This window comes from Homo sapiens, chromosome 10 (genome assembly GCF_000001405.40).
Source record: "Homo sapiens chromosome 10, GRCh38.p14 Primary Assembly".
NCBI lineage: Eukaryota > Metazoa > Chordata > Mammalia > Primates > Hominidae > Homo > Homo sapiens.
Window position 1 is genome coordinate 43,642,296 of NC_000010.11, and position 27,467 is coordinate 43,669,762.

At 45.2% G+C, this 27,467-nt stretch overlaps 1 protein-coding gene and 3 long non-coding RNA genes across 10 annotated transcripts in view, besides 3 other annotated features; 3 read left to right on the plus strand and 1 right to left on the minus strand.

Annotated features, from left to right (window-relative positions):
* ZNF32-AS3 (ZNF32 antisense RNA 3) overlaps positions 1-27,467 on the plus strand; it is a 45,883-nt gene that overhangs the window by 13,479 nt on the left and 4,937 nt on the right. The gene's annotated exons all lie outside the window — the stretch shown is intronic.
* Positions 1,567-6,586, minus strand: ZNF32 (zinc finger protein 32). 7 transcript variants are annotated; one of them, NM_006973.3, is made up of 3 exons: positions 6,507-6,586; positions 3,769-3,907; positions 1,567-2,506 (listed from the first exon to the last, which is right to left on the minus strand). In NM_006973.3, exons 2-3 carry the CDS (start codon positions 3,836-3,838, stop codon positions 1,755-1,757), a joined length of 822 nt encoding a protein of 273 aa, NP_008904.1. In that variant the 5' UTR covers positions 3,839-3,907; positions 6,507-6,586; the 3' UTR covers positions 1,567-1,754. The 7 variants fall into 7 exon arrangements, with proteins under 7 accessions (NP_008904.1, NP_001311096.1, NP_001311095.1 ...); NM_001324167.2 differs by having other exon boundaries at positions 3,765-3,907; NM_001324166.2 differs by having other exon boundaries at positions 3,761-3,907.
* ZNF32-AS1 (ZNF32 antisense RNA 1) lies at positions 1,577-2,752 on the plus strand. The gene is made up of 2 exons (NR_047557.1): positions 1,577-1,812; positions 2,555-2,752. It is a non-coding gene; the product is annotated as a ZNF32 antisense RNA 1 (long non-coding RNA).
* Positions 3,341-4,540: an enhancer, noted in NCBI's record as "CDK7 strongly-dependent group 2 enhancer chr10:44141084-44142283 (GRCh37/hg19 assembly coordinates)". NCBI's record gives its function as "activates an origin of replication core promoter dependent on BRD2, BRD4, P300/CBP, MED14 and CDK7 cofactors, with strong dependence on CDK7, by STARR-seq in HCT116 cells {active_cell/tissue: HCT116}" and the evidence as "EXISTENCE:reporter gene assay evidence [ECO:0000049][PMID:35650434]".
* Positions 3,647-5,724, plus strand: ZNF32-AS2 (ZNF32 antisense RNA 2). Its single transcript, NR_047558.1, has 3 exons — positions 3,647-4,002; positions 4,817-4,914; positions 5,274-5,724. It is a non-coding gene; the product is annotated as a ZNF32 antisense RNA 2 (long non-coding RNA).
* Positions 6,092-6,611: a silencer, noted in NCBI's record as "silent region_2336". NCBI's record gives its function as "represses an Ori minimal core promoter by ATAC-STARR-seq in GM12878 lymphoblastoid cells {active_cell/tissue: GM12878}" and the evidence as "EXISTENCE:reporter gene assay evidence [ECO:0000049][PMID:35858748]".
* Positions 25,023-25,202: a silencer, noted in NCBI's record as "fragment chr10:44162766-44162945 (GRCh37/hg19 assembly coordinates)". NCBI's record gives its function as "represses an EF-1alpha promoter that drives an FKBP-Casp9 reporter gene in an ReSE screen in HepG2 liver carcinoma cells {active_cell/tissue: HepG2}" and the evidence as "EXISTENCE:reporter gene assay evidence [ECO:0000049][PMID:32094911]".

A 27,467-nucleotide genomic window follows, 5' to 3' on the forward strand; every position in this document is an offset into this window, starting at 1 on the left:
TTTCCAAATTGTTTCAGTGCTCAAAGACCTTTGAAATTTACCTCTCTACATGGTAAAGATTTACTATTACAAGCTTTTTGGGATTAAGGAAGCAATAATTTATAGCAGGGGGTTCCCAACCCTGGGCCATGGATCAGTACCAGTCTGTGGCCTGTTAGGAACTGGGGCACACAGCAGGAGGTGAGTGGTGGGAGAGCAAGCGAAGCTTCATCTGTATTTACAGCTGCTGCCTGCTGCTCACATTACTACCTGAGCTCTGCCTCCTGTCAGATAGTGGCAGCATTAGATTCTCATAAGAGTGTGAACCCCATTGTGAACTGTGCATGCAACGGATCTAGGTTGTGCACTCCTTATGAGAATTTAATGCCTTATGATCTGTCACTGTCTCCCATCACCCCTAGATGGGACTGTCTAGTAGCAGGAAAACAAGCTCAGGACTCCCACTGATTCTACCTTATGGTGAGTACCTTATAATTGTTTCATTATATACTTCAATGTAATAATAATAAAGTGCACAATAAATGTAATGTGCTTGGATCATCCCAAAATCATCCCCCTCTGTGGGAAAATTGTCTTTATGAAACTGGTCCCTGGTGCCAAAAAGGTTGGGGACCACTGATTTATAGGATCCACTAGAAAGGATGGAATGGTGTCTTACCAAGAAAACCAAAATCTCTATCATTCATCATTTCACTTACATAAATGCTCAGTATGAAAAATTATAGAGATGGCTAAGATTTTAAAAAATGGAAATGGAAATTTCCCCTCAAAACCAATTTCTCCTCTGCAGCCTTCTTCAAATCTCATCCCCTGGAGGTCAGAAAAAAGGATGGGTTAGAATTCCAAATTTCTTGGTGTGTGTGCAGGAGGAAGAGGATAGTATTGTTGGAAAGTGGAAGTTCATTATTGACTACAAACTACAAGTCTGGGTTCAGTAATAACACTTATATCCTTTCTAGATAACCCAACCCCAAGATATTGCTGCTGTTACCAAAGAGGGAGTGAAGGTCTCTGAAAATGTAGGAGTCCCTTTAGTAGATGGGGAGAAATGGGTTAAAGATTTTTAAAAATTGCACAGACAGTAGTTGTTTGCTCTTTGGTTACAGGTGAATTATCTCTATCCTAGTTAGGAGTGGAGGACTGAAGTATGTCTCAATGCACAAACTAAGGCTGTGCAGGCTTGGAAAGAAATTTTCTTTTGTAATAAAAGGCTAGGCCCCTTGCTATAGACATGAGTGATTAGTTACAATAGGTTATTGGGGGTATCATCCAGGTAATGAAATGTTCAACAAGAAGATTATAAAGGTAACTAGATTTGCCCCATGGATTTTGCCCAGTGGTTTTGAAGGCAAAACAAGATTAATTTGAATATGTAAGGAAGAAAAATAACTTGGGATTGATGAGGGGCTGATTTTTTACATTTATAAAAGCCTGATGGTGTCAACTACAAATTTAAAATCTGTATTGGGTATACACAGAACAATCTCTAGTGTGGCACCAGATTAATGGGGGTACCTTGAAAAATCAGGTCAGAATAAAGTGACAGAAATTATAAAACATACATGATAATGATAATAAACAAGACATTTATTTTTCATACTCTTTTGGGGGAAAGGAAAAAAATCAGTTTGCCCTACCCAATGATGGTCTTTCTGAAAGATTCTCCATTCATTCCATAGAACTGGATAGGTTGCTTCATCTCAGAGGATTTTGTACTCTTAATTCATAAAGAGAACTTCTCTTCAGGAAAGTGGTCAAAGGGTGAGCCTCTGTGAGCAGCTTCGCTGGTGCACAGCCAGACTCCCTCTCTGGGTGAAGCTTTTTCCACACTGGCCGCACAGATAGGGTGTCTCTCCTGTGTGGATTTTGCCATGCAGAATACAATTCCCCCTGGTGTGGAAACTCTTCCTGCACTGGGTACAGGCATAGGGCTTCAGGCCTGTGTGGACTCTGATGTGAACAATTAAGCTTCCTTTCTGACTGAAGGCTTTTCCACACTGATCACATCTATAGGGCTTCTCACCACTGTGAACTCTCCTGTGAACAGCAAGGTTACTCTGATTCCTGAAGCTTCTCTGACAAATAGCACACTCGTAGGGTTTCTGTCCAGTGTGGAGTCTCTCGTGGACAGCGAGACTACCTCGTTGACTGAAGCTTTTCCCACACTCCTTGCACTGATAAGGCTTCTCTCCCGTGTGTATCCGTTGATGTGTAACAAGATTGCCTTTGGCCCTGAAGCTTTTTCCACAGTGGGTGCACTCAAAAGGCTTTTGACCAGTGTGGATTCTCTCATGTAACGTTAGACTACCTTTTTGCCGGAAGGATTTTCCACACTCCTGGCACTCATAGACCCTTTGTCTCACTCCAGGTGAATCTTCCTGTAGTGTCTTCGAATCTGGGGATTTTTGTTCCAGCTTCTCTCTTCTGAAAGAATTTTGGATATCCCAGCTTGAGGATCCTGTAGCCTCAGAGTGGTCATATTTGTGGTGGGCTTCAGTCATCACATCTGATAAAATGAGAGGGAAGTCATATAAGAAGCACCAATAATGCTGAGTTAGAATAGGGAAAAAGAAACATAATACTTTGAGTGCTTATGATGTGCCAGGCCTTATTCTTTGCATAGACAATGCAATCCTGAAAACAATGCCATGAGAGTGATACAGATAATGGGAGCAAAGGGAGCCTGTCAAAGGTCACAGAGCTAGGTAAGTTAGAGCTGACTCAAATAGGCATTCTCCATAGCAGTGTACTGCCTCTAAATTTAATTTAGGCCAACAAATAACCTTGTAAGATAGACATGGTTTTCTCTATTTTACAGGTCAGAAAACAGGCTCAGAAAATTTAGAAAACTATACAGAATCACACAGAGCCCCATACCCAACTTTTATCTGACTCCAAAACAGGTGTGGATCCAGGCTATATAAGGCCTAAAACTTTCCCATTTTAGAGGCACCCTTTTAAGAAAATGTATAAAATTAAGCACAGGGTCTTGGAGAGACCAATCCAAGTGAGGGGTCCTAAAACTGAAGCTGCATTTGCTTCTTCAGAAATCCACCTCTGTCCAATCTGTTCTGACAATAGAATAAGCACCATGACCTCAGAAAATATGTAGCACAATCCTGGGTACTTTACATCTATCATTGCTAATCCCTGCAACCCTACAAGATAGAACTTATTGTCCTATTTTACAGACGAACCTGGAGCTTAAGGAAGTTAAATAACCTGTCTGATACTGCAGATCTAGCCATGGCAATTATAGAATCTGATCCAAGGAATTTTTCCCATTAAAATCCTTGCTATTTTCAGTCTACTAAGCTATGGCAAAACTGAAATCAATTTTGGTTTGGAAGTTATTCTCTATGCAGATATTGACTTTTTTTTTTCCGAATACTGCCCTGCATCTGAGCCTCCTGGTGCACTTTAAATATGGGTCCATTCATCACCATTAACAGTTTTCTTGGTGTCTGTCACTCCAGGGTAATCTTCTCCTTGTTCCCTTGCCTTATTCAGAGACAGTGCTGAGATTTAAGCTGCTCATTCATTCTCAGAGACTACTTCAACGCTACCTCCATATCAAGATGGTTCTCTTGCTCTGTTTCTACTATTACTTCTAACTCCAGCTCACAGGCTTTTCTTATAACCCTAGGAACAGCAAGCTCTACCAAAGCAAGGTCTCCTCTGCTTCCTCAGACTGCCGACCAGTGCTGAGAACAGGGACACTGAATATCTGTGAGCTGAGCGCATCCAGCCATCAACTGACTCACTCACTGAAGAACGCTACATTCTGGGCATATCTTCCATGACAGTCCAGCAGGGTAGCTGTTGGAAATCCAAACATGTCCACTCCTGCTTACGACCTCAGTCACCACCTCTTCATATGATTCTTCCATGGGCTGTTCCTGAGCACCTGAGGGAGAAAAACAAACAGAAACAAACAGGAAAGGGCAGAATAATTGATATGTGAGAAGGAAAAAGTCAACAGTTGTTGAGACATAAGTGAATGTAAGAAACCTAGATTGTTTGACATAATGTCAGTTACTAAAATATCACTGCAAAATGGGCCCAAAGGTACCAGGACCACACACAAATGAGTCTAGGAGGAAGCAGGATGTGGGAAAGCAGAGAACACATAAACATATATCTCTTCCTGCCAATCCCAAGTTAATAGTCACTCCTGTTTACACTTTGGTCTTGGCATGTAATTGGGATCTTCCATTTTGGTTCCCCACCTAACCACCTACTACTTTCTTCCCTCCAAGCCCCAGAGGAATTCAGAATCTAAGAAAACAACATTTCAGCCTTCATGATTGGTTGGAGCCAATCAGCTCTCCAGTTATCTGTAGTTACAAAGACTTAACAAGAGAGTCCATTTGTTACCACTGAACAATTCTTAGGAGGCTCCAGACCCAGACTCGCCTTTCTCTTGCTCTTGAAGATACAAGAATACCAGTTCTGACCAAGTGTAAACACTTGTCAATTCTTGGAAAAGAAAGACCTACTCTGGACTCCAAGCCCAAGGCACTCCAACTAGGTTAAGTAACTTGCCCAGAAACCCACAGAAAATAAGGAGTCAAAGTGGAGCAAAGGTTCAAATCCAAGACTTTCTGGATCCAAAATGTATGCTCTTACATTAGACAGTTGTCTAGTTCCTAATCACTAAAGAGCTGGTCAGAATGCTTATAAAATTGAACAGAAAGGAAGAGAGTTTGACCAGATTGAAGTGCTCTTTCAGATCCTAGGAATCCTCTTGTATGTGCTCTAAATTATTTTTTAATTTTTTTAAAATTCTGAGTCAAGATTTTGCTCTGTTGCCCAGGCTGGAGTACAGTGACTCAATTACAGCTTGCTGTGACTTTGAACTCCTGGACTCAACGGATCCTCCCACTTCAGCCTCCCAAATAACTAGGACTACAGGTAAGCACCACCAAGCCTGGCTAATTTTTAAAAATTATTTTAACTTTTTTTTGTAGAGATCGGGTCTCATTATCCTGCCCAGGCTGGTCTCCAACTCTTGGCCTGAAGTGACCCTCCTGCCTCGGCCTCCCAAGACATGTAGGCATGAGCTACTACACCTGGCCCACATGATCTATTTTTTAAAAAAAATATTTCTTCTTACTTCAGGATCCTAATTACTGAATTCTTATACTTTTAAGAAATGCAGTGGTTCAATGCATACTCCTTGTTTCCCTCTAATTTGTCCTATCAAAATGCTGGCCTTCTGATTTAATGAAATAATAGTATGATGCTACCATTCTTTGTTTTGTCAACCTAAGCACCTGGTTCTTCTTGACAACTGCACATTCTGCTACATGCTGTGATGACCAGGAGAATCATTTAAATTTTTATTTGGAGGACTCACTTCCAACTTGGAACACAAGCTGCAAAGGAATTCCCTACCAGCATGCCAGCACATCATTTGGAAGTTCAAGGTATTCTTGCTCAACAGCTGCACACACATTAAAAGTCCCTGGGGTACATGGCGCCTGCTGCCTGGGGTTGGACTCTGTCGCCGGGGATTCCAGAAATTAGAGTAGAATTCACAGCTCTGCCTCTCCACCTGCTGTGAGGTCTTCAAGTTACAACTCCGCCGCCTATCAGGGACCTCCGTGATTAGTAAGGGAGAAATTGTCATATTTTTCTCCCTAGATCACAGGTCTGAGGAAGCAGTTTCCCCAAGATTTTGTAAAAGTGGCTTTATAATTAAAAACATTGATTTTCCTATTAGAAAGGCTACTATATCCTTTGGAAAAAGCTTAGAAGTAGTCCGTGAGTCTTGGCTTCTTGCCGTGGCTCCCCCAGGATATGATCTTGGGCGAGTAACCCAGCAGCCCTGACTCTGCTTCCCCACTTATTAAACAGGTTACTAACACTGTCCTATCAGGTAGGACAATGAGAAGGAAAGAACCAAACAAGAGGAGTATCAGACGAGACCACCAGACTTAAGATCTAAAATCCGGCGTCCTCTGGAGGGCGGATGAGAAGAGGGGTACACTTGGCGGTCTGGAAAATGTCCTGGGGCCAGTTTCAGGTTTAGGAGCTTGTGGGTAGCGTGGTTTCCCACACGCTGCCTGGCTTCCTACTCTCCCCCGCAGGGGCTGCCTCTCCTCCCACCCCGGAAGGCCGGCACCGGCTTCCCGCACTCGCTGAAGCCCGCACGGAGGCCGGGTGAGCCTGCCGCGGCCTCCCCCTCCCACGCCCCGACGCCATGGGCCCTGCTCCTCTCCGCAGACGCTGCCCTCCCGCCTCAGGCCCCGGGCCCCGGGCACCGGGCCCGCCCTGCGTCCTGAACCTCGGCATCCCGCTCTCCGGTCCACGGGACCCTGCTCTGCGGACCGCCGACCTCTCCGCTCGCGGCTGGCCTCCCTCGGGGCCCGGGCCGGCCAGGCCTGCTCATTTCCTTGGCGGCCGCTGGCATAAGGCGGCCACACGGAGGGCCCGGGACAGCGGTCTGATGGCGCAGCCCCGCCTTGCCCCGGCGCTCTGACCCGGCCAGCGGCCTCACTCACCGCAGCGGCGCGTGCCCGCAGACAAAGGCCGGCGCCGAGCCCGCAGCAGCGCCAGCGCCGGCGCCGGCGGAATGGACTACAACTCCCAGGAGTCTCCCCGCGAGCCCGCCCGCCGGGCCGTGGGTCTCGGCGGCCCCGGCTTCCCAAGAGCTCTGTGGGAAATGTAGTTCTCTGGCGCGCCCTGCGCTCGGGCCCCGCAGGTCCCTAGGGCGCGGGGACCTCAAGCCGTCCCGTTTGGACTGGTAATCCGGAGACTCACAGCGGTGACCTGTCAGCGGACGCGGAGCCGGGACGGAGCCACGGCCGCTCAGATTAGCAGGATCTGATTGACAGCATCGGGGTAGCAGACGCTGAGCCAGGGACTCAGGAATACAGGGTTCTTGCAGGGCGTCGCGGAAGGAAACGAAGTTTTTGGGAGAAATCCGTTTGATAAAGCCTTGGCGGCTTCGAGGTCATGTGTTGAGCCTCTGGCTGCATGAACAAAAGCGAAGCCCGCTTTCATGGAGCTTCTGTGAAGAGCAACAGGAACACAGGCAGTCCAGTCGTCCTGAGATACTGGGAGGAGCATGGTTGCTTTTGAACACGTAGGAGATAAAGCCTCTCTAATAATGCCTGTTTTTTTTTTTCCTTCACTCTGTCTCCCAGGCTTGAGTGCAGTGGCACGGTGTCGCCTCACTGCAACCTCCGCCTTCTGGGCTCAAGTGATTCTCCTGCCCCAGCCTCCCAAGTAGCTGGGACTACAGGTCTGTGCCACCATGCCTGGCTAATTTTTTTGTATTTTTAGTAGAGATGAAGGTTTTACCATGTTGGCCAGGCTGTCTGATATGCCTTAAGCCTCTTTTAAACGCACTTTTCCAGGATCGGGGCCACATCCTGGAGCTGTTCTGCCTGGCCGGGTGTATCTCTGGGTCCCTGCCTCTGGAGCCCCTCTCCGTAGATGTGTCTGTCCATCCTCTTTCGTGAAGGACTAATAAAGAATGCTTCCTCTTGCTATGTTCTTGTTCTCTACCCCAAAGCCACAGATTTGTTAAATCAAACAACTTAATTTCACTCAATATGCAAAGGTGTCTGTAAGTAATAAGTTGATTCCTAAATGTTAGCTTTTACTATTGCACATCATTTCTGAATTTCATTCAACATTTATCCGTTGAATCCATTTTAAGTGCTGACACTGGGGATACGAATGTGAGCAAGACACACTCCGTGCTCCTAGGGAGGAGCTGACAGTCTGGTGGAGCAAACAAACACCACCTTCCTCACATGGGGGTCGGGGTGTTGCACAGCTAAGTCCCAGAGTGTGTGGTGCAAACTGTCCTGAAGCTCCCCATTCCTGAACTGCCCCAGGTGGCTCCTCTCCTCACTCCTCCCAAGTCTGAGAAAGGGGTGGAGGGCGGCACACAGCAAAGGCCAAGGCTCAGAGTCCTAAGGCTGCGGCCTCTGCTTCACACAAGGGTACATAGGTTCTGTTAAGGTCAAGACCGGCTGTGGACACTAGGACAAGTTTCAGATCCTGCCGTGAAGGTACATGACAAAGCATTGGTGGGAAAAGGTGGCTGTGAGGGGGGACCATCGTCACTTTTATAGATCTGCATAAATTCCCTTAAGGCGTCTCAGGAAAGTGGACACATTGAAGGGCCCAAAGCAGGGGAGAAAGCTGTTAGGATTGGGGTTGATGTGACCCCAGCCTCCATAGACAGACTGCCCAGCTGCAAAATGGGGCACATCCTCACCCACCACCTGCATCTTAAGGCAAATACTCAACAAAAGGGAGGGTGTGGGGTGAGGGTGAAAGGGAAATCATCCGCAGTGTAGATTTGAAAAATTACCAAAGAACAATTTCCTCACTTTGCAGGCATTTCAAAATATTAGGGGAAGGACAGATAATTCAATAAATGGTGTTATGACAAGGGCTAGACATTGGTGGGGTCGGGGAGTTGAATGTTTACCTAACTCCCATGCCAAGAGAACCTCCAGATGGATTAATGTAAAATGGGAAACACAGAGCCACAAAGGCCCAGAAGAACACATGGATTAATCTTCTTATAATCTTGTCATAGGGAAGGCTTTCATTTTTGTTTTTTTTTTGAGATGGAGTCTCACTCAGTCGCCCAGGCTGGAGTGCAGTGGCGCTATCTCGGCTCACTGCAAGCTCTGCCAGGGAAGGCTTTCTTAACCAATGTAACAAAGGCAGAAACAATAAGGAAGAAGATTTAAATCCAGCACTTCTGTGTGGCCAAAGTACCACTAAATGAAGTTAACATGTGACAAGCTGGGAAAATATTAGCAATCGTCATACTTAAAGACACCATACAAATCAATAAGAAAAAGACAGTTCACTAGAAATGTGGCAAAGGACAGCAACTCACACACACACAAATGAAAGGAAAATACATTCATTATTCATTTTATAAAATTTCCAATTGAAACAAATGAAAATTACTTCCCAAGTACTAAATGGCAAAGATTGCAAAGGAGACTGGGGAAGTGGACATGTCTGTCCGTGTGTAAATTGAGATGACTGCTCTGATAGGACATTTGGCAGTGCATACCAAAAGTCCTAAAAATGCACATATTCCTTCTAGAATTTTTTCTTTGGGGAAAAATAATCAGATAATTGTATCCTAATTGTGGAATGAAAGCCTTAGGGTCCAGGTTGCTGAAGTGAATTATTGGCTTTGAAAGGACTTTTAGTTCCTTTGAAAGGATTGGCTGCCCTAGAAGTTTCCATGAGACTGTGAAGGTCTAGGGAAGCTGAAGTCTTCACTTGCTGCCATAGTTCTGAACAAATACAGTCATTTGGTGCTTAGTGATGGGGACACCTTCTGAGAAATGCATCGTTAGGCAATTTCATCTTTGAACATCGTAGAATGTACTTACACAAACCTAGATGGTACCTCCCATTACACACTCAGTGTAAGACTCAGTGTAAGGCTCAGTGGTTTAGACTCTATTCAGTACAGTCACATGCTAGTAACTGTACTGAATACTGCATGCAATTGTAACACAATGGCAAGTATTTGTGTATCTAAACATAGAAATGCTATAGTAAAAATATGGTGGTATAATCTTCTGGGACCACCGTTGTATATATGGCCAGTCGTTGACTGAAAGGTTATAATGCGGCGCATGACTGCACCTGGGTCTAGAGTGGTAGAATGAGAGCCCACCCTCCTGGGGTAGGGGGTTGATCAGAACACTTTCCATCGTGCTTACCATCTGTGTCTACTCCAGTCCCTGTCAGAAATGCAGGCCTCTTCAGTCCCCACTGGCTGTGTTCCTCCTTCCTCAGTGCTCTGCACACTCACTGCACTGTGCGAGCCTTCTGTCCACTCCACACTCTCCTCTCACTCTGTCCATTATGGAGCAGTGCTTGGAGAAAGTCAGCTTTCTTGCAGATCCCTCTGTCTTGGTGGCCAAGCTTGGGCAGCTGGACCCCCAGGATAAAGGGATCTGTGCTTTAGTGTGATTCTTTGGAAAGGTTGTTGAACCTGGGCTAGAGCTGTCCAAGCATTTCCTGATGTGCTAGCCATTTCTCAGGGCTGGAAGTGATCGTGGATTCTCCTTGGACAAACCATTCCTTTTCTCTGAAGCCGCCTTTGTCCTTTTGAGCAAATGTGTCTTGTGTTTGATTTCACTAGCACCTGATTTATAAACTCAGGATATGAAGACTTTGGCCTTCATGAGCCTAGTGTGTGCATCGTTACTCTTGTCCCCTCATAACTCCCACAACTATTCATATAAAAATCATACTGATGGAAGCTATCTCTGCAAGCTTCAGGCAGATTTTGGGTCTTGCCTTTCATTTCTACCATTTAGCCAGCTGTGCCCTTCTTTAACCTCTTGATGGAATTGTTTATAAGCCAGAAAGTGGGAGGGAAAGTGTGGGGTGGAGCAGATGACCCACACCTAGTACAAATTTGCATTTGTTTTCAGCACTGTGGGCTAAGCCAACATTTCCTGCAGAGGCTCTGATACCCAGATCTGATTACCCTGTTTGGTGTCACTTAGTGGGGCTGCAGTCAGGACCCCTTTAGGATGTATTTATGGTGCTCCTCAGCTCACAAAGACTATGTGCCCTGTATTGTGCACGTGATTGCTGTGCTTTCATAATGAACCTTTTGAGGAAATGTCATGGAGGAGCATGAAGTCCTGCATTCCTGTCTCCCATTTTGTAGGAAGGTCTCCCACGTGGCCAGAGGCTGGAGACATGAATGTGGCTGTGTAGCAGGATGAGCTGCAGACAAAACCCCTCAGACACCGAGTTAAAGAAGGCAGGGCTTTATTCAGCAGGAAGCATCGGCAAGACTCACGTCTCAAAAACTGAGCTCCCCTAGTGAGCAATTCCTGTCCCTCTTAAGGGCTTACAACTCTAAGGGGGTCCGCGTGAGAGGGTCATGATCGATTGAGCAACAGGGGGTACATGACTGGGGGCTGCATGCACTGGTAATTAGAACGGAACATAACAGAACAGGGATTTTCACAGTGCTTTTCCATACAATGTCTGTAATCTATAGATAATATAACCCGATTAGGTCAGGGGTCGATCTTTAACTATGAGGCCCAGGGTGTGGCACTGGGCTGTCTGCCTGTGGATTTCATTTCTGCCTTTTAGTTTTCACTGCTTTTTTCTTTGGAGGCAGAAATTGGGCATAAGACAATATGAAGGGTGGTCTCCTTCCTTAGCTGAAGTGGGAACTAGGTGTTCCTCATCAGATCAACTGTTGGATGCTACTTCCTCTCACACCTGAGTCCTGAGCTGTGGACCCTGGAGCTAGGGTTCTTCACTGAGGCCCACAGATGGGCTCCACGTGGGTCTGTGAACTGATGAAATGGCAACAGTGGATGTCTTAGTCCATTTAGTGTTGCTATAAAGGAATGCCTGAAGTTGAGTAATTTATAAAGAAAAGAGGGTTATTTGGCTCATGGTTCTGCAGGCTGTACAAGAAGCCTGGTGCCAACATCTGCTTCTGGGGAGGCCTCAGGCTGCTTCTGCTCTTGGCGGGAGGTGAAGGAGAGTGGTGTGTAGAGATCACACGGTGAGAGAGGAAGCAAGAGAGACAGAGGAGGTGCCAGGTTCTTTTAACAACCAGCTAATGGGGGAACTCTCAAGGGAGCTAATAGAGTGAGAACTTACTCAGAGCATGAATCTATTCATGAGGATCTGCCCTCATGACCCAGACACTTCCTGTGAGGCACCACTTCCAACATGGGGATCAAATTTCAACATAAGGTTTGGGGTACAAACATCCAAACTATGAAGTGGACTTGAGGCTCTTTAGGACAGATGGTACATAACTTTTCATCAAAGAGTTGGCTGAAGGTACCTACTTTTCATCAAAGAGTTGGTTGATCTCCAAAAAGATGAAAATGATTGAGAATCCTTGAATATGCAGAGACAGATCATTTTAAACTTTTTTCTTTTAACTTTTCATTTTGAAATGATTTTAGACTTACAGAAAAGTTGCAAAAACAATGCAGAGGATTCACATATATTTTTCACTCACCTTCCCCTAATATTAACAACTCACAGAATTATAATAACACCAGAAAATTAGCATTGGTACCATGCATCATGGTAATTATTATTATTATTATTATTATTATTTTTTTTTGAGACAGTCTTGCTCTGTCTCCCAGGCTGGATGGAGTGCAGTGGCGTGATCTCCGCTCCCTGCTACCTCTGCCTCCCAGGTCAAGTGATTCTCCTGCCTCAGCCTCTCGAGTAGCTAGGATTACAGGCACCCGCTGCCATGCCCAGCTAATTTTTGTATTTTTAGTAGAGACGGGGTTTCACTATGTTGGTCAGGCTGGTCTTGAACTCCTGACCTCATGATCCACCCATCTCGGCTTCCCAAAGGCATCATGGTAATAATTAATAGTAAACTGCTGACCTTGTTTGTGTTTCACTAGTTTCCCCCCTAACGATCATTTTCTTTCCAAGGATCCAATCCAGGATCCTACATTGCACCCACTTGTTGTGTCTCCATAATCTCTTTGAATCTGTGGCATTTTCTCATTTTAAAGAAGAAAATAAAATCTGTTGGTAGCAATGATGGTAAACTGCAAGATAACTGTAGGGACACACAAATGATCTGCTCTTCTTGCTTCTTGCCTTCTTATTCTTTTTCTGTCCCAAGCAAAACTTAAAATTAAGTTTATTTTCATTTGCTATCACCAAAGTATGTCATAATTTTTATTTTAACATATGCAAAACATATAGTTGTTGGTTTTAAAGGTTTGAAAGGCTTCAACTCTATTTCACAATAGTCAAACACATTTCTTGAAATATAAAATACATGACTGTAATAATCATACAACTGATTTGTGTAGTAAGGAGTTTAACCTTGCCCTAAAGAGCTCTGACTTTGTCCTCAGCTTCTGGCAGGTGATCTATCTCCAAGCCCTTGGAGTATAGTGCTTAATAGGATTGTCTTCATTTGCCAGTGGCCTGGGCTCACGCTGGGTAGTCTAGATGTGATTTACGGTGGGGCTGCCCCACTGGGTAGTCTCAGGATGGGACCTGGACACTCCAGGTGGTAACGACATGCTATGGGTGGGGGATTTGGGGGTCACATGGAATCAGTCAACTTCGGGAGGGCAGGAGGCTGGAGGCTGAGATCGGCCAGGGGAACAATCAGTCACATGCATGTGAGGGAACTCTAGCAGACACCTCAGACCCAATGCTCGAGTGGCTTTGCAGGGTGGCCCTGCTGCATGCCTACTGTTACACAGCGATGCTGGGAAAGCCACGCCTTCCTCACTCCATGGGGAGGGGACAGTGGGAACTGCATGCGGTACTTTCCCTGCACCCTGCCCTTGGCCAATTTTAATCTAGACTTTCACTGTAATAAACCCTACCTACAATGACAGCAGCTCTCAGTCGGTTCTGTGTCTTCCTAGCAAATGATTGAATCTGAGGGTGGTTTTGGGAACCTCCCCACCAAATTGACAGCTAGTGTCAGAAGTGAGGGCAGTCTTGGCTGGGTGCAGTGGCTCATGCCTGTAATCTCAGTACTCTGACAGGCCAGGGCAGGAAGATTGCTTGAGCTTAGGAGTTTGAGACCAGCCTGGGCCACACAGTGGGACACTGTCTCTAAAAAAACAAAAACAAACAAACAAAAACCTGCATGTGGTGGTGCATGCCTGTAGTCCCAGCTACTCTGGAGGCTGAAGTGAGAGAATTGCCTGAGGCTGCGAAGTCAAGACTGCAGTAAGCTGTGATTGTGCCACTGCACTCCAGCCTGGGTAGGCAGAGCTAGACCCTGTCTCAAAAAAAAAAAAAAAAAAAAAAAAAAAAAAAAAAAAAAAAGTGAAGGCAGTCTTGTGGACTGTTTCTCTAACTTTGCAGTTGGCCTTAACTTTTGCAATGACTTTAAAAGTTGAATCTGATGCTGGAGAGGATGTGGAGAAATAGGAACACTTTTACACTGTTAGTGGGAGTGTAAACTAGTTCAACCATTGTGGAAGACAGTGTGGCGATTCCTCAAGGATCTAGAACTAGAAATACCATTTGACCCAGAAATCCCATTATTGGGTATATACCCGAGGATTATAAATCATTCTACTATAAAGACACATGCATATGTATGTTTATTGCGACACTATTCACAATAGCAAAGACTTGGAACCAACCCAAATGTCCATCAATGATAGACTGGATTAAGAAAATGTGGCACATATACACCATGGAATACTATGCAGCCATAAAAAGGATGAGTTTATGTCCTTTGCAGGGACATGGATGAAGCTGGAAACCATCATTCTCAAAAAACTATCACAAGGACAGAAAACCAAACACTACATGTTCTCATTCATAGGTGGGAACTCAACAATGAGAACACTTGGACACAGGGCGGGGAACATCACACACCGGGGCCTGTCGTGGGGTGGGGGACTGGGGGAGGGATAGCATTAGGAGAACTACCTAATGTAAATGACGAGTTAATGGGTGCAGCAAACCAAAATGGCACATGCATACCTATGTAACAAACCTGCACATTGTGCACATGTACCCTAGAACTTAAAGTATAATAACAATAAAAAAAGTTGAATCTGAAACCATGTCTTTGCACTTGAAGATAAAAATAACCCTTCTCCCAAGACAAACAAGAGATTGTCACTAGTAAAGTGTCATTTTCAATTTAGCAAATGCACTTCAACATGTTTAATTTATAAGAACCCAATAGAACTATGGTCAGTTTAAGACCTGAAGTTATCTCACTTGCATTGAGGGTTTATAACGAGCACTAGATTTCTTCTTTTCTTTTTTTCTAAATTTATTTATTTCTTTTTTTTATATATTTTTATTATACTTTAAGTTCTAGGGTGTATGTGCACATGTGGACACAGGAGGGGGAACATAACGAGGACTAGATTTCTTCTAAACAATGGAGATTAAACAATGTACATCCACTGTCTGTAAAGACCTTGATCTTGACCCATCACTCATGAATCTGTCTTAAGTCCAGAGCTTTTAAAATGTCTCCAGTGTTCTGCCAAGACCTAAGTTCTTTAGGACTACAAAACAGCTTGATTGACTTGTTTTCTTTTAGAAAATTCCATATGAACACTAAACACATTTATGTAATTCCAGAGGGGGTGGTGGTGTATTTTGGCAACAGGGGTATCTTTCTGAAGGCGCAGCTCTATGATAGGTTTGCTCTGAATTGATGCATCTTTTCATTATGGGAACCAGACGCATCAAGTGCAGAGTATTTTCCAGGCACTTGAACTTGCCTTGTGGTTATTAAGTTTCTGAAAGAAAGTACCAATATTTACTTAAGAGAAAAGACAAATTATAGGGTGAAGGCTAAATTGATGTTTACATTATCAAAGACTGCTGTTTTCAGAGCAAAAATGGATGTTAACCATGAAAATGTTTTATGCCGTGGCATTTTTTGGAACATATTTTTTTCATTTAAAAAGTTTCAATATATGGCAAATATGTAAATGTGCACATGGGAACACGTCATTTTTCTGTACTTTTGTCCTCTTTATTTCTGAAATCCTTCCAACTACCTAAAAGTTCCAACTATTAAAAAGTACTGCAGTCTGTTAGCATTTCAAATGTTTGTAAACTTTGATTTAGAACTGTTCCAGTATTTAATTCTGAACTTGCCAGTTTATTAATGCTTTTAAAATAAAATTTATTGCACTAGGAGTTGAAATAAGTTGTTTTTAACTCATAAAAAGAGCTGCTGAAAAGTATTTTCCTACATTTTTCCGAATAACATTTTCAGAAATGCCTAGAGAGATACAAATTTAAAATACTTAATTGGAAACATTTTACATTTAGAAGTACTTCTAATAAAATTAGAGACAATATTTTTCTGCAATTTTTCTACAGCAGAAGGAGAAGTTGTTACTTCAGTTTTGGGCCCCTGGCATTGGTCCATACCTGGAGGTCCTCCTGGGAAGGTGTTCCCATGGCCTAGGTTCTGTGATGTTGGTGAAGGGCACCATAAGGCAGCCGTTCCCAGCCACGTTCAGTTGGCAGAGCCCCTCATGCTCTGACACTTCATAAAACATGGCACGCAGCAGCTGCTGGTAGCGCCCCTGACATCTCTTGAGCTCACCTTGTGCTTTGGTGGCCAATGTCCCTGTATGTCGAGGGCTCCCCACCTCAAGAACTTGAGCTCCCTGCTTGAGGCCTTTCAGTGGCCACAGGAATTTGCCTGCCCTGTGGGTGTGCCCAGCTTCAGGTGCTGGGGATTTAATGCTTCCAGGAGGCACCTTCCATCGATAAGGACTAGGAGTTCCTGGAGGACTATCCCAGCTCACCCCCTTTTCCGTGAGTCAGTCCTGCCGTGTTTCATGTTCTCTTACAGTGCCTCAGTGGGATTGTACCCAATTTGCCACAGTGGTACCCCACTCATTCTTGCACCTGTGTGTGGCACAGCTTCTGGTTCTGGCTCATTGCTCAGTGGCTGACAGTGCTTCCCAAACGACTAGCCCCAAGCCTGTCTCAGAGTCTCCTTTTTGGGGAGGCCAGCAGAAGATGCCATGTGCACCAGGTGACTCAACAGCACCCCCAGGCTCATGGGGGGTGTCGAAAGCTTGTGGTGGCCCCGAAGCTACTTGAAGTAATGGGGAATTCAGGAAAATCACTAAACTCCAACAGGAAGGGCCAAGGAAATGGATACAAAACACATAATGCACACACACACACGTAAGTAATGGAAGAGAAGATAGTATCATTTTAAACCAGCGTTTAAGATCATGAGCTAAATAATAAAGAATAGAAACAGGTGGGAAAGTGGACGGAGGGAAACCAAAAATCATTAAAGACTTACACTTCCATAAAGGGCAAACCAAGTTTTGTGTGTTCATTACCAGTATATTTATTTATTATTATTTTTAGATGGAGTCTTGCTCTGTCACCCAGGCTGGAGTGCAATAGCGCAATCTTGGCTCACTGTAACCTCTGCCTCCTGGGTTCAAATGTTTCTCCTGCCTCAGCCTCCTAAGTAGCTGGGATTACAGGCACCCACCACCACGCCCAGCTAATTTTTGTATTTTTGTTTTTTAAAGTGGAGATGGGATTTCACCATGTTGGCCAGGCTGGTCTCCAACTCCTGACCTCAGGTGATCTGCCCACCTTGGCCTCCCAAAGTGCTTGGATTACAGGCATGAGCCCCTGAGCCCAGCCTAGATATATTTTAAATGAGACTGATACTGTTTTAGGATAATAACTCTAGGATCAAAACTGGGCTGATTTCTTGGCTGACCTTAGTAAAAGATGGAAGCAAACAAGAATGTGGCTCCCTTATCCCAAGACAGTAAATAGATAAGGAAGATGAAAAGCTGGGCCTGCTCTGCAGGTGTCCATGGTAGGCACTGCCAATGGGGCGGGGGCTCCCTCACCTCCCACGATTTCCCTACACGGGTCCTTCCAGCTTTCCTGTTAATCATTTAGTAGATCTGCCACCTCCTTCTTCTCTCTCCATCACTCCGCACCATCTGTGTGAACTTTTTCTGGATTTCTGGATGGGCTTCTAAATGTTGACTTGTCTAAAATATACAAGTATTGTGTATATTAGGCACCCAATAAATTCCAAACCATAACGAATACACAAAATCCCCTAAAGACCGGCTTGCGGCCGGGCGCGGTGGCTCACGCCTGTAATCCCAGCACTTCGGGAGGCTGATGTGGGTGGATCACTTGAGGTCAGGAGATCTAGACTAGCCTGGTCAACATGGTGAAACCCCGTCTCTACTAAAAATACAAAACTTAGCTGGGCGTGGTGGTGCATTCCTGTAATCCCAGCTACTCAGGAGGCTGAGGCACGAGAATTGCTTGAACCTGGGAGGCGGAGCTACAGTGAGCCAAGATCGTGCCACTGCACTTCGCCTGGGCAACAGAGTGAGAACCTGTCTCAAAAATACCAAACCATAGTGATGGTTTGGTATTATATTTATATTTGAGCACCACTATGCTCAAATATAAATATAATTTAAAAAATGGGCTTGGAAACAGTCCACGTCTGTCGCTCTTGGTCACAGATGTGTGTATGTAGCCATTGCTGCATAGAATCTATAATTTCATCCTTTGTAGTAGGCATTGTTCTTCCCTCCATGGTTTGGAGAGGTTACCACACATATCCAAGATCTCACAACCAGTGAGCAGTCGATGTGGGATTCTACCCAGGTCTGACTCAAGTACCTTGTTCCTTCCAACTCACCAGGCTTTCATGACGGGATATGCATTGGGCAGCAGCAGAATAACCAGAAAGCCTTTGCCAAATAGGATCACAGGCACTGACACCAATATTAATATTAAAAGGGCATGGTTTAGTCAACTGCAATTGGCAAAATATGTATAAACAGCATTTAACAAAAATTATTATCAATATTAAGGATAATGTCTTTGAAACTTTATGAATTTTGTTACTTTTTGACATAAAGACATAAGATGTAGAGTTAGGAGCAATTTGACAAAATATGTTAGACAATTTGACTCACCATTATTAAAGTCAAGCTGGCAAAGGTAAGTAGAAATTACAAAAATACAAAACAGAATTCATCGATAGATTCTGACTTTGGAGCCTTTCTTTGAGACAGGGTCTCACTCTGTTGCCCAGGCTGGGGTGCAGTGGAGATCATAGCTCACTGCAGCCTCAACTTCCTGGGCTCAAGCCACCCTCCCACCTCAGCTTCCTGAGTAGCTGGGACTATAGGCACATACCACCACACCATCTAATTTGTAAATTTTTTTGTAGAGACAGGATCTCACTATGTTGCTCAGGCTGATCTCAAACTCCTGGGCTCAAGAGATCCTCCCACTGCAGCCTTCCAAAGTGTTGGGATTACAGGCGTGAGCCATCAGGTCCTGCCTGGGGACTTTCTGGTGTCTAAAATGTTTACAAAATATGGTAAATCATTATGACATAAAAAGGATCAAAGCATTAGAAAATACAAAGAAAATCAGCCAGGCGCAGTGGCTCATACCTGTAATCCCAGAACTTTGGGAGGGTGAGGTGAGCAGATCTCTTGAGGTCAGGAGTTCAAGACCAGCCTGGCCAACATGGTGGAACCCCGTCTCTACTAAAAATATGAAAATTAGCCTGGCATGGTGGTGCTCAAATATAATTAATTATAACTCAAGTATTTTGGGAGAAATACTTTTATGAAGTCAAATTTATCATTTTTTAATGATTTAATGTTTCTGTGTCCTAAGAACCCTTTGCCTACTCTAATTTTTTTTTTTTTAAGAATCTCCTGTGTTATCCTCTAGATGCTTTATGGTTCTAGCTTTTATTTTTAGGTCTATAACCCATTTTAATTTTTGTGTATGTAGTGACGTAGAGGTCAAAGTTCATTTTTTCCATGTGAATAATCAGTGCTTGAGCACCATTTGTTAAGGAAGACTTTTTTGGGAAAGAAAGCAAAGGCCCTCTCTCCCGAGGGCTTCTGGACTGAATGCTAACAGCAGTCTGGGCTAGCTAAAATTATAAAAGACAACGCAACCAAATATAGGCAAGAATATATAGCACTGAACTCTCAAATATTGCTGAAAGGAGTATAAAATGGCTGGAGAACTTTAGAGACCTTTTGTTAATTTCTTATAAGTTTCAAGATACATCTACCCTATGGTTCAGAAATTTCACTCCTAGGTATTTGCCAACAGGAATAAAACACGTCTACAAAAAGACTTGCACAAGAATGTAGCCTTATTCGAATAACCCAAAAGGGAAAACAACCAAATGTCCATCAATAGTAGAATGGATATACAAACTGTGGCACATTAATACTATGGAATAGTAGTCAGCAAACAACAAAAGGATGCTCACCTGACTCGCACAATATACATTGATCTCAAAAAAACATTATGTGGATTGAACGAAAGCAAGACACAAATACAGACAATATGATCCCATTTATATGAAGCTCAGGAAGAGAAAAATTAATCTATGATGACAGAAATCAGAACACCAGAGCATAGTTTCTCTGGGATGGAAGAAGGTGGGAGGACTAGTTGGAAAGAACTTGAAACACTTGGGGTAATGGACATGCACCATCTCTTGTTTACAGTGATTGCACAGGAGTAATATAATTACCAAAGCATATTGAAATGAATGTTTTGCATTTTTTTGTGTGTCTAAATTACATCTCCACTAAAAATTACCACCAAAGAAGTTGTATCAGTGAAAGTAGATTAGATTATACTGCAGCAAAAACAGTAAAATCCTAGTGACAAGTCAAAAAGGTGTATTTCTTCTCTATTCCATTCTCATGCTATCCTATTGCAGGGAATTCTACTCATTGTAGACATTCAGCAACCCAAGCTGACAAAGCAGCCAGTATCTTTACAGTGCCAGTTACTATGGCAGAGAGATAAGAAAGCTTTGGAACATCTTATACTGGCAATTAAGTGCACAGCCCAGTAGTGACATAAATCACATTTGCTCATATCTTAGTCTTTTTAGTGTTGCTATACAGGAATACCTGAGGCTAGGTAATTTATAAGAAAAAGAGTTTAAAAAATTATTTATTTATTTATTTGTTTGTTTGTTTATTGATTTATTTATGAATGACAGGGTTCTGCTGTGTCACCCAGCCTGGAATACAGTGAAGCAATTATAGCTTACTATAACCTCAAACTTCTGGGTTCAAGTGATCCTCCTGTCTCAGCCTCCCAGAGTGCTGGGATTACAGGTGTGAGCTATTGCACCCAGCTGAAGAAAAGAGGTTTATTTGGCTCACAGTTCTGCAGGCTGTACCAGAAGCATGGCACCAACATTAGGTGAGAGCCTCAGGCTGCTTCCCCTCATGGCAGAAGGTGAAGGGGATCTCTGTGTGTAGAGATCACATGTTGAGAGAGGAAGCAAGGGGGAAATGCCAGGCTCTTTGCAGGAACTTACTCAGCCCCACCCCTGGACACTAATCTATTTATGAGGGGTCCACCCTTATGACCCAAACACCTTCTATTAGGCTCTTACCTTCAACACTGGGGATCAAATTTCATCATGAGGTTTTCAGGGGTCAAATATTCAAATCATAGCAGCTCACAAATTGTTGTCCAGAACTAATTACACAATCTAATTCATCCCTAAGTGTGCCAAGAAGCACCATCCTACAATTGGCCAGAAAAATTGTGGTATGGACTGAATTGTGTCCCCTCAAAATCCACATGTTGAAGCTCTAATCCCCAATGTGACTGTATTTTGGGATGAGGACTTTGAACAGGTAATTAAGGTTAAATGAGGCCATGAGGACAGGGACCTAATGCCACAGTGCTGATGTCCTGAGAAGAAGAGGAAGAGACAGCAGTTTTCTTAGTCCATTTGTGCTACTATAAAAAAATACCACAAACTGGGTAATTTATAAATAATAGAGCCTATTTCTCACTGTTCTGGAGGCTGGGAAGTCCAAGAGCAAGGCCCAGGCAGGTTTAGTGTGTGGTGAGGGTCCAGTCTTTGCTTCCAAGATGGCACCGTCTAGGTGTCCTCACGTGCTGGAAGGGATGGAAGGGCAAAAAAGGGCTGAACTAGTTTCTTTGAGCCCTTTTACAAGGTTTCTGATCCCATTTATGAGGGCAGAGACTTCATGGCCTAATCATCTCCTAGAAGCTCCACCTCTTAATACTGTTGAAATTCAGTTTCAACATGAAACTGAATGTCGGCAGGGACACAAACACTCACACCATAGCACAAGGGATGCATGTTCATCAAAAGAAGGCCATGTGAGGATACAGCAAGAAGGTGTTTGTCTACAAGCCAGGAAGGGAGCCCTCACCAGGAACCAAACTGCCCAGCACTCTGATCTCAAACTTCCAGCCTCCAGAGCTGTGAGAAATAAATTTCTGTTGTTTAAGACACGTTCAAATAGTTTGTGGTATTCTGTTATGGCAAACCGAGCAGACTAATAGAAGTTGAGAGTGGAAATGACTAAGTAAACAGAACTAATAAGTTGGAAATACATAGACGAATCATTGTATGTTTTTAAAGAACAGACAATGCATATCCCATATACATTTTGCAAGACAGCCACATGCACACAAACATAAAAGCCTTCTTCCTTTACTGTAGCTAGCAGAACCATCATAGTAAAATCTGAAACATGCTGATATACAGTATTACACTTATGTAGATAGAAAGAAACTTGATGTAAATAAAATGAATATACCAAAATACTCACATTTTATATTTGTTGGGTACCTACTCTGTAAAACGGGTTTTATATTTTAGACAAATCAACGTTTAGGAGCCCACCCAGCAATCCAGAAAAAGTTCACACAGATGGTGTGGAGTGATGGAAAGGGAAGAAGGAGGTGGCAGATCTACTAAATGATTAAGAGGAAGGTTGCGAGGACCCATGTTGGGGGGAGCATGGGAGGTGAGGGAGCCCCTGCCCCATTAGTGGTGCCTACCATGGACACCTGCAGAGTAGGCCTAGCTTTCTGTCTTCTTTCTCTATTTGCTGTCTTTGGATGAGTGAGCCACATTCCATTTGCTTCCATCTCTTACTAAGGGTCAGCCAGGAAATCAGACCAGTTTTGATCCTATGGTTGTTATCCTAAAACAGTATCAGTCTCATTTAAAATATATCTACAATTGGCAACAAACACACAAAACTTGGTCTGCCCTTTATGGAAGCGTAAGTCTTTAATGATTTTCGGTTTCCCTCTGTCCAATTTCCCACCTGTTTCTATTCTTTATTGTTTAGTTTGTGATCTTAAATGCTGGTTTAAAATGATGCTAACTTACTCTCTTTTCCTGATGGGAGTGTGTGTGTGTGTGTGTGTGTGTGTGTGTGTGTGTAGACAGAGAGAGAGAGAGAGAAAGAGAGAGGGGTTGCATCTAGTTCACTTGGTTCATCAGACTTGTTAGTAATATATCCTCTCTTATTGCAGTTTAGTGATTTTCTTTAATTCTTCATTCCTTCCAGTAAGTGGTTTTGGACTCATCTAGGGCTTTTTGTTTGTTTGTTTTAAACGGCAATGTTCTCATTCACTACTCAACAATTTGCATGAAACCATTGCATAATTTTGACACACACACGTAATACACTTGGGATAATATTTTCAGAAATGGCTTATTTGGGTTTGCCTTTGCTCTTGAAGCTGGCTATTCTGAATGTAACACTTGTTGATCCTCCCAAAGATCTGATGCTTATGATTGCAGAGGGGCAGCTTGATGCTACCTTGCTTCACGTTCATTTAATCTGACTTTTCCACCAATCTACCCTAAACTCCTTTGAACAGCAAAGACAGAATATGAATTAATGCTATAATTAGCACTATGTCAAATTATGTCTGAATATGAGAAGGGATAGGAGATAAATATGAAAATGTAAAAGATAATTTGAGAGCAGTGAGATGAAGTGTGAATGTTTGCACTTAAAAATTTTTATTCTTTGCTGTTAAAATAGTGTTTATGCAAAAATAATTTAGAAAACCATAAAAATCCCTGAAGAAAGTCTGAGAAAGAGGTGCAAGGAGAGAGGGAGAATTTCCAGCTTCATCAAAACTGTGTGCAGATGGAGCCTCTGCAGGTTTGTCATCCCAGCAGTGATGTGGACAACACGAACACAGCAGAGGCAGCCACTGGTCTTTAACGGCACCACCAGCCCATCCCGAAGTCCATCAGAGGCACCTGTGAATCCACAGGTTCAGCGGACACTTATTTCCTGGGTGCCTATGCCATGGAGGCCCTCTTCCTAGTGCTCTGTGGATGCTGGTGTGGGCCCCTCTCTACAGCTCTAGGAAGCAGGGGTCTTAGTCTGTTTTCTGTTGCTTATAACAGAATACCTGAAACTGGGTAATTTATAAAGAAAAGAAATGTATTTCTCACAGTTCTGGGGGCTGGGAAGTCCAAGGTTGAGTGGGTGCATCTGGTGAGCATTTTTTTTTGCTGGTGGGGACTCTGCAGAGCCCAGAGGTGGTTCAGGGCATCATATGGCAGGGGGCTGAGCGTGCCATCTCAAGTCTCTTTTCCCTTTTTATAAGCCAACAGTCCTACTGCATAACACATTAATCCATCAACCCCTTCATCAATCCATTAATCCAGGAATGGACTAACCTATTCAAGAGGGCAGAACCTTCATCACCCAGTCACCTCTTAAAGGCCCCACCTCTCAATACTGCCATATTGAGGATTAGGTTTCAACATGAGTTTTGAAGGGAGGAGTATTCAAATCACAGCAGCAGGGACCATTACTACCCTCCTGAGAGAAGGGGACCTCATGGGGGCCATAGTCAAGGGCTCACCTCCTGCTGCCAAGCTGGGAGGCTGCATCACCAGCCCAAGTGGCCCGGGCCCCGGGGTTCACGCTTCTGATTCTGGACTCCCTGTCCCCTAACCATCCCCCATCCCATCCCTCCTTCACTCCCTGGGCTCTACTTTCACGAATCCGCTGTCCCCTCCTCAGGCCACAGCTCTTTCCTCAGCAGACATCATCCTGCCTGTTACAGAGGAAGTGGGCACTGCCGGGCAGAGCCCCAGCTCTTCTGCACCACGTTCAAGAAGGCAGGCACCACACAGGCAACCTCACGCCTCCTTCGGAAGCAGATGGAGTTTTTTTTTTTTTTTTGCACAAGGTTACTCTAACCTGTTTGTCTTCTTGGGGTAACTTGTTCATTCATATATGAATTGTCACCCATTCTATCAAACAAATAAAATCACCATGACAATTGCTATTTTTAGGCACATTTTAAAGCTATAAATGAGATCATGTTAGTTAATAAAAATTATCTCCTCAGTTAAATGGGTATTAATTACAATTTCCAAAATTACAGCAAACTCTGAACCCTCCTTTTAGACTGGCTGGTACCATCTGTTCTAGCTAGGTATTATACTTTACTTAGCCATTCCCCTGCTGTTGGACATTTAGGACGTTTCTAATTTGAAATTTAACATTGGGTGGTTTTCCAAGTATTTATGTATATATGTATTGGTGCTGATTATGACGACGTCAAATTTCTCTCCGTCTCTGCCTGCCGGCTTCAGCTGCGGCCCCTCCTCTCGGAAGGTTCCTCAGGAGTTCTCCTGTCCAGTTAGAGGTTTTGGGGTTTCCTCCTTACGCTGGTCTCAGCGACTTCCTGCGGCTCAGAAGCAGCACAGGCTGGACCCAACCCCTGCCTCGGAAAACCACTGTGCTGATGCGCCAGCAGAGGGCCGAGAGGACAGCCGCGGCGGAACCCAGGGGCGACAGTTCCCTGGGGCCAAGGGGAGCCATGTGGAGCCCGGCCCAGGCTTGGCGCCCAGGCTCGGCCGGGCTGCTGTGCGCGCGGGGAGTCCGGGTGTCCACTGGCCCGAGCCAGGGTCCCGCACTTAGCGATTTCCAAGCGCGACTTAGACGTGGCCTAGTGGGTGTTTTTCGCTGATGGAAACGCTGGCCGGGACTGCCCCCAGCCTCCGCGGAGAGTGGGAAGCTCCCAGCAGGGGCGCGGCGGGTGCGCTCCGGGGCCCTCCCCACTGCGGGGCTTCATCATACGAAAAACCTTTGGAAGGGCCTGGAGAGCTTTGGCCTTTGTTTCGTGGGCTGTTTACTGACTTTCGCTCCCAGTTAAATCTTCCAACCCGAAGACATCCTTCTGAAGTCAGCAGCACAGATTACACCTAAGGGGAGGCGACTCGGCCTTCTTCCCTTCCCTTCCCTTCCCCTCCTACGGCAGGTCCCGCTGGCGGGAGGACGCCCCGCGAGTGGGGTGGGCCGCGAGCGGGAGGAACACGCACGTCCCGGGGCGGCCGGAGGGGCCCCGCTTGCGCAGGGGGTTGTCAGAAGACTCGCACGCGGCAGGAGGCCTGGCCGTGGGTGCAGAGTTCCCAGTAGGACGCCCACGAAAAAAACCTAACTCCCATTATGTTCTGTAATTCTAGTCTAGCCCCTATTTCATGCTTGATAGAGAGCAGTCGACCCCTTCTTGGTGAATTCTGCCAAGTTAGTCACTTCTCAGTCATGTTAATTAATTGTTTTAGAGACAAGGTTCTGCTCTGTCGACCAGGCTGGAGTGCAGTGGAGCGATCACGGCTCACTGCAGCCTCCGCACCTCCGACTCCAGCGATCAGATTCGCCTGGGTTGTCCAGCTTTCAAGTCCACCGGGGTCCCCATGGAACTTCTGGCTGCCCTCCCTCCTCAGCCTTTCAGGGAAGATGGGGCTGCTGTGGGTGCCAAATGTGCCCAAACCACCTGCACCCCTGAGGCGGGTGACACAGCCTCTCCAAGAGCCTTGGTATTGTGCCATCCAGGCTGTCCTTCAACCTCAGCCCTAGACCAAGGCCTCAGACTTCGGGAAGGAGGCCACTGCACATCCACCCTCAAGCCCACTGCACTCAGCCCAAGGAGCTGAGGGGAGTGAGCAGGGCCTGGGGCCTGGGCCTGTATCAGGCTTCCTCTCCCAACTCTTCCTGCCCCTACCCGGCCTGGAGGGCACAGACACACATAGACACACACAGATATGCAGAGACACACACACACAGACACGCAGACACGGACACGCATGGATGCACACAGAGACACACAGACACACACACAGACCCAGACACACATACGTGGATGTACACAGAGAGACACAGACACACATGGACACACATACACAATTCTAGATATAGAGAAGCCGTGCCTGTAGCTTGCAGTGCCATGTGTCTGCACGCACTGCGGGTGAGGACTACACCAGCTCCGGGGTCGCTCTACTTCATTGCCTTTCCAATCTTTGGTCTCACAGCTGGATGGCACTCTCTAGATGAGAAGCTAGGGTTGTATCTTTATTTTCTGGTTCCACAGTGACCTCCCCTTTCCCCAGAGCATCCCCGAGTCAGGGTTTCAATGAGGAGGGGATGGTCCTTGGGCCAGAAGGAGCCATCAGAGGGCAGGGGCAGGCCAGTGTGGGTGGTCCTGGCTGCACTTGGGTCTGTGTGGCTCTGGGCATGGTCGGAGCACATCTCCAAGGCCACATCTTGAGCAGAGGGGGCTTCTCCTGAGGGGAATGGGCCTTTATTGTCACCATCCTGGGAAGTGGAGACTCTTAGGGAAGGGCATGGACTCGGGAGGGCCTGGGATGTCTGGGCAAACCCGTAAAGACAGCCCCTTATGTGTAGGTACTGAACAAATTGAGAGCTTTCTCCCAAGAGTGAAGGGTGGGGGCCAAGGCACGGCTTGACCCTGACTAGTGCTAGTGGGCAGGTCACACCTCTGTCATGCACAGGCCTCCTGGGCCAGGCAGGGGATCAGTTCAGGGACTCTAGGATAGAGGCAAAGCCTGCTGCTAAGTTCTCTGTTACATTTCCCTTGGCTTCTTCCTGTGTCTTCAGGAAATTTCCACTAAAAGATACCATCTGGGCTCAGCAGCGTGGCAGGCTGCTGGGGGGACTGGCAGGGTTTTGTGCATGTGGCTTGGTGAGCAGCCCAGAGGGACAGAGCCTGCTTCCTAGGACAGCAAGGCTTACCACAGGGCAGAGCCCTGTGGACCTGACTCCCCGGGGCTGTGAGCAGGAAAAGTGTGGAGGGAGATGGGAGCTGGG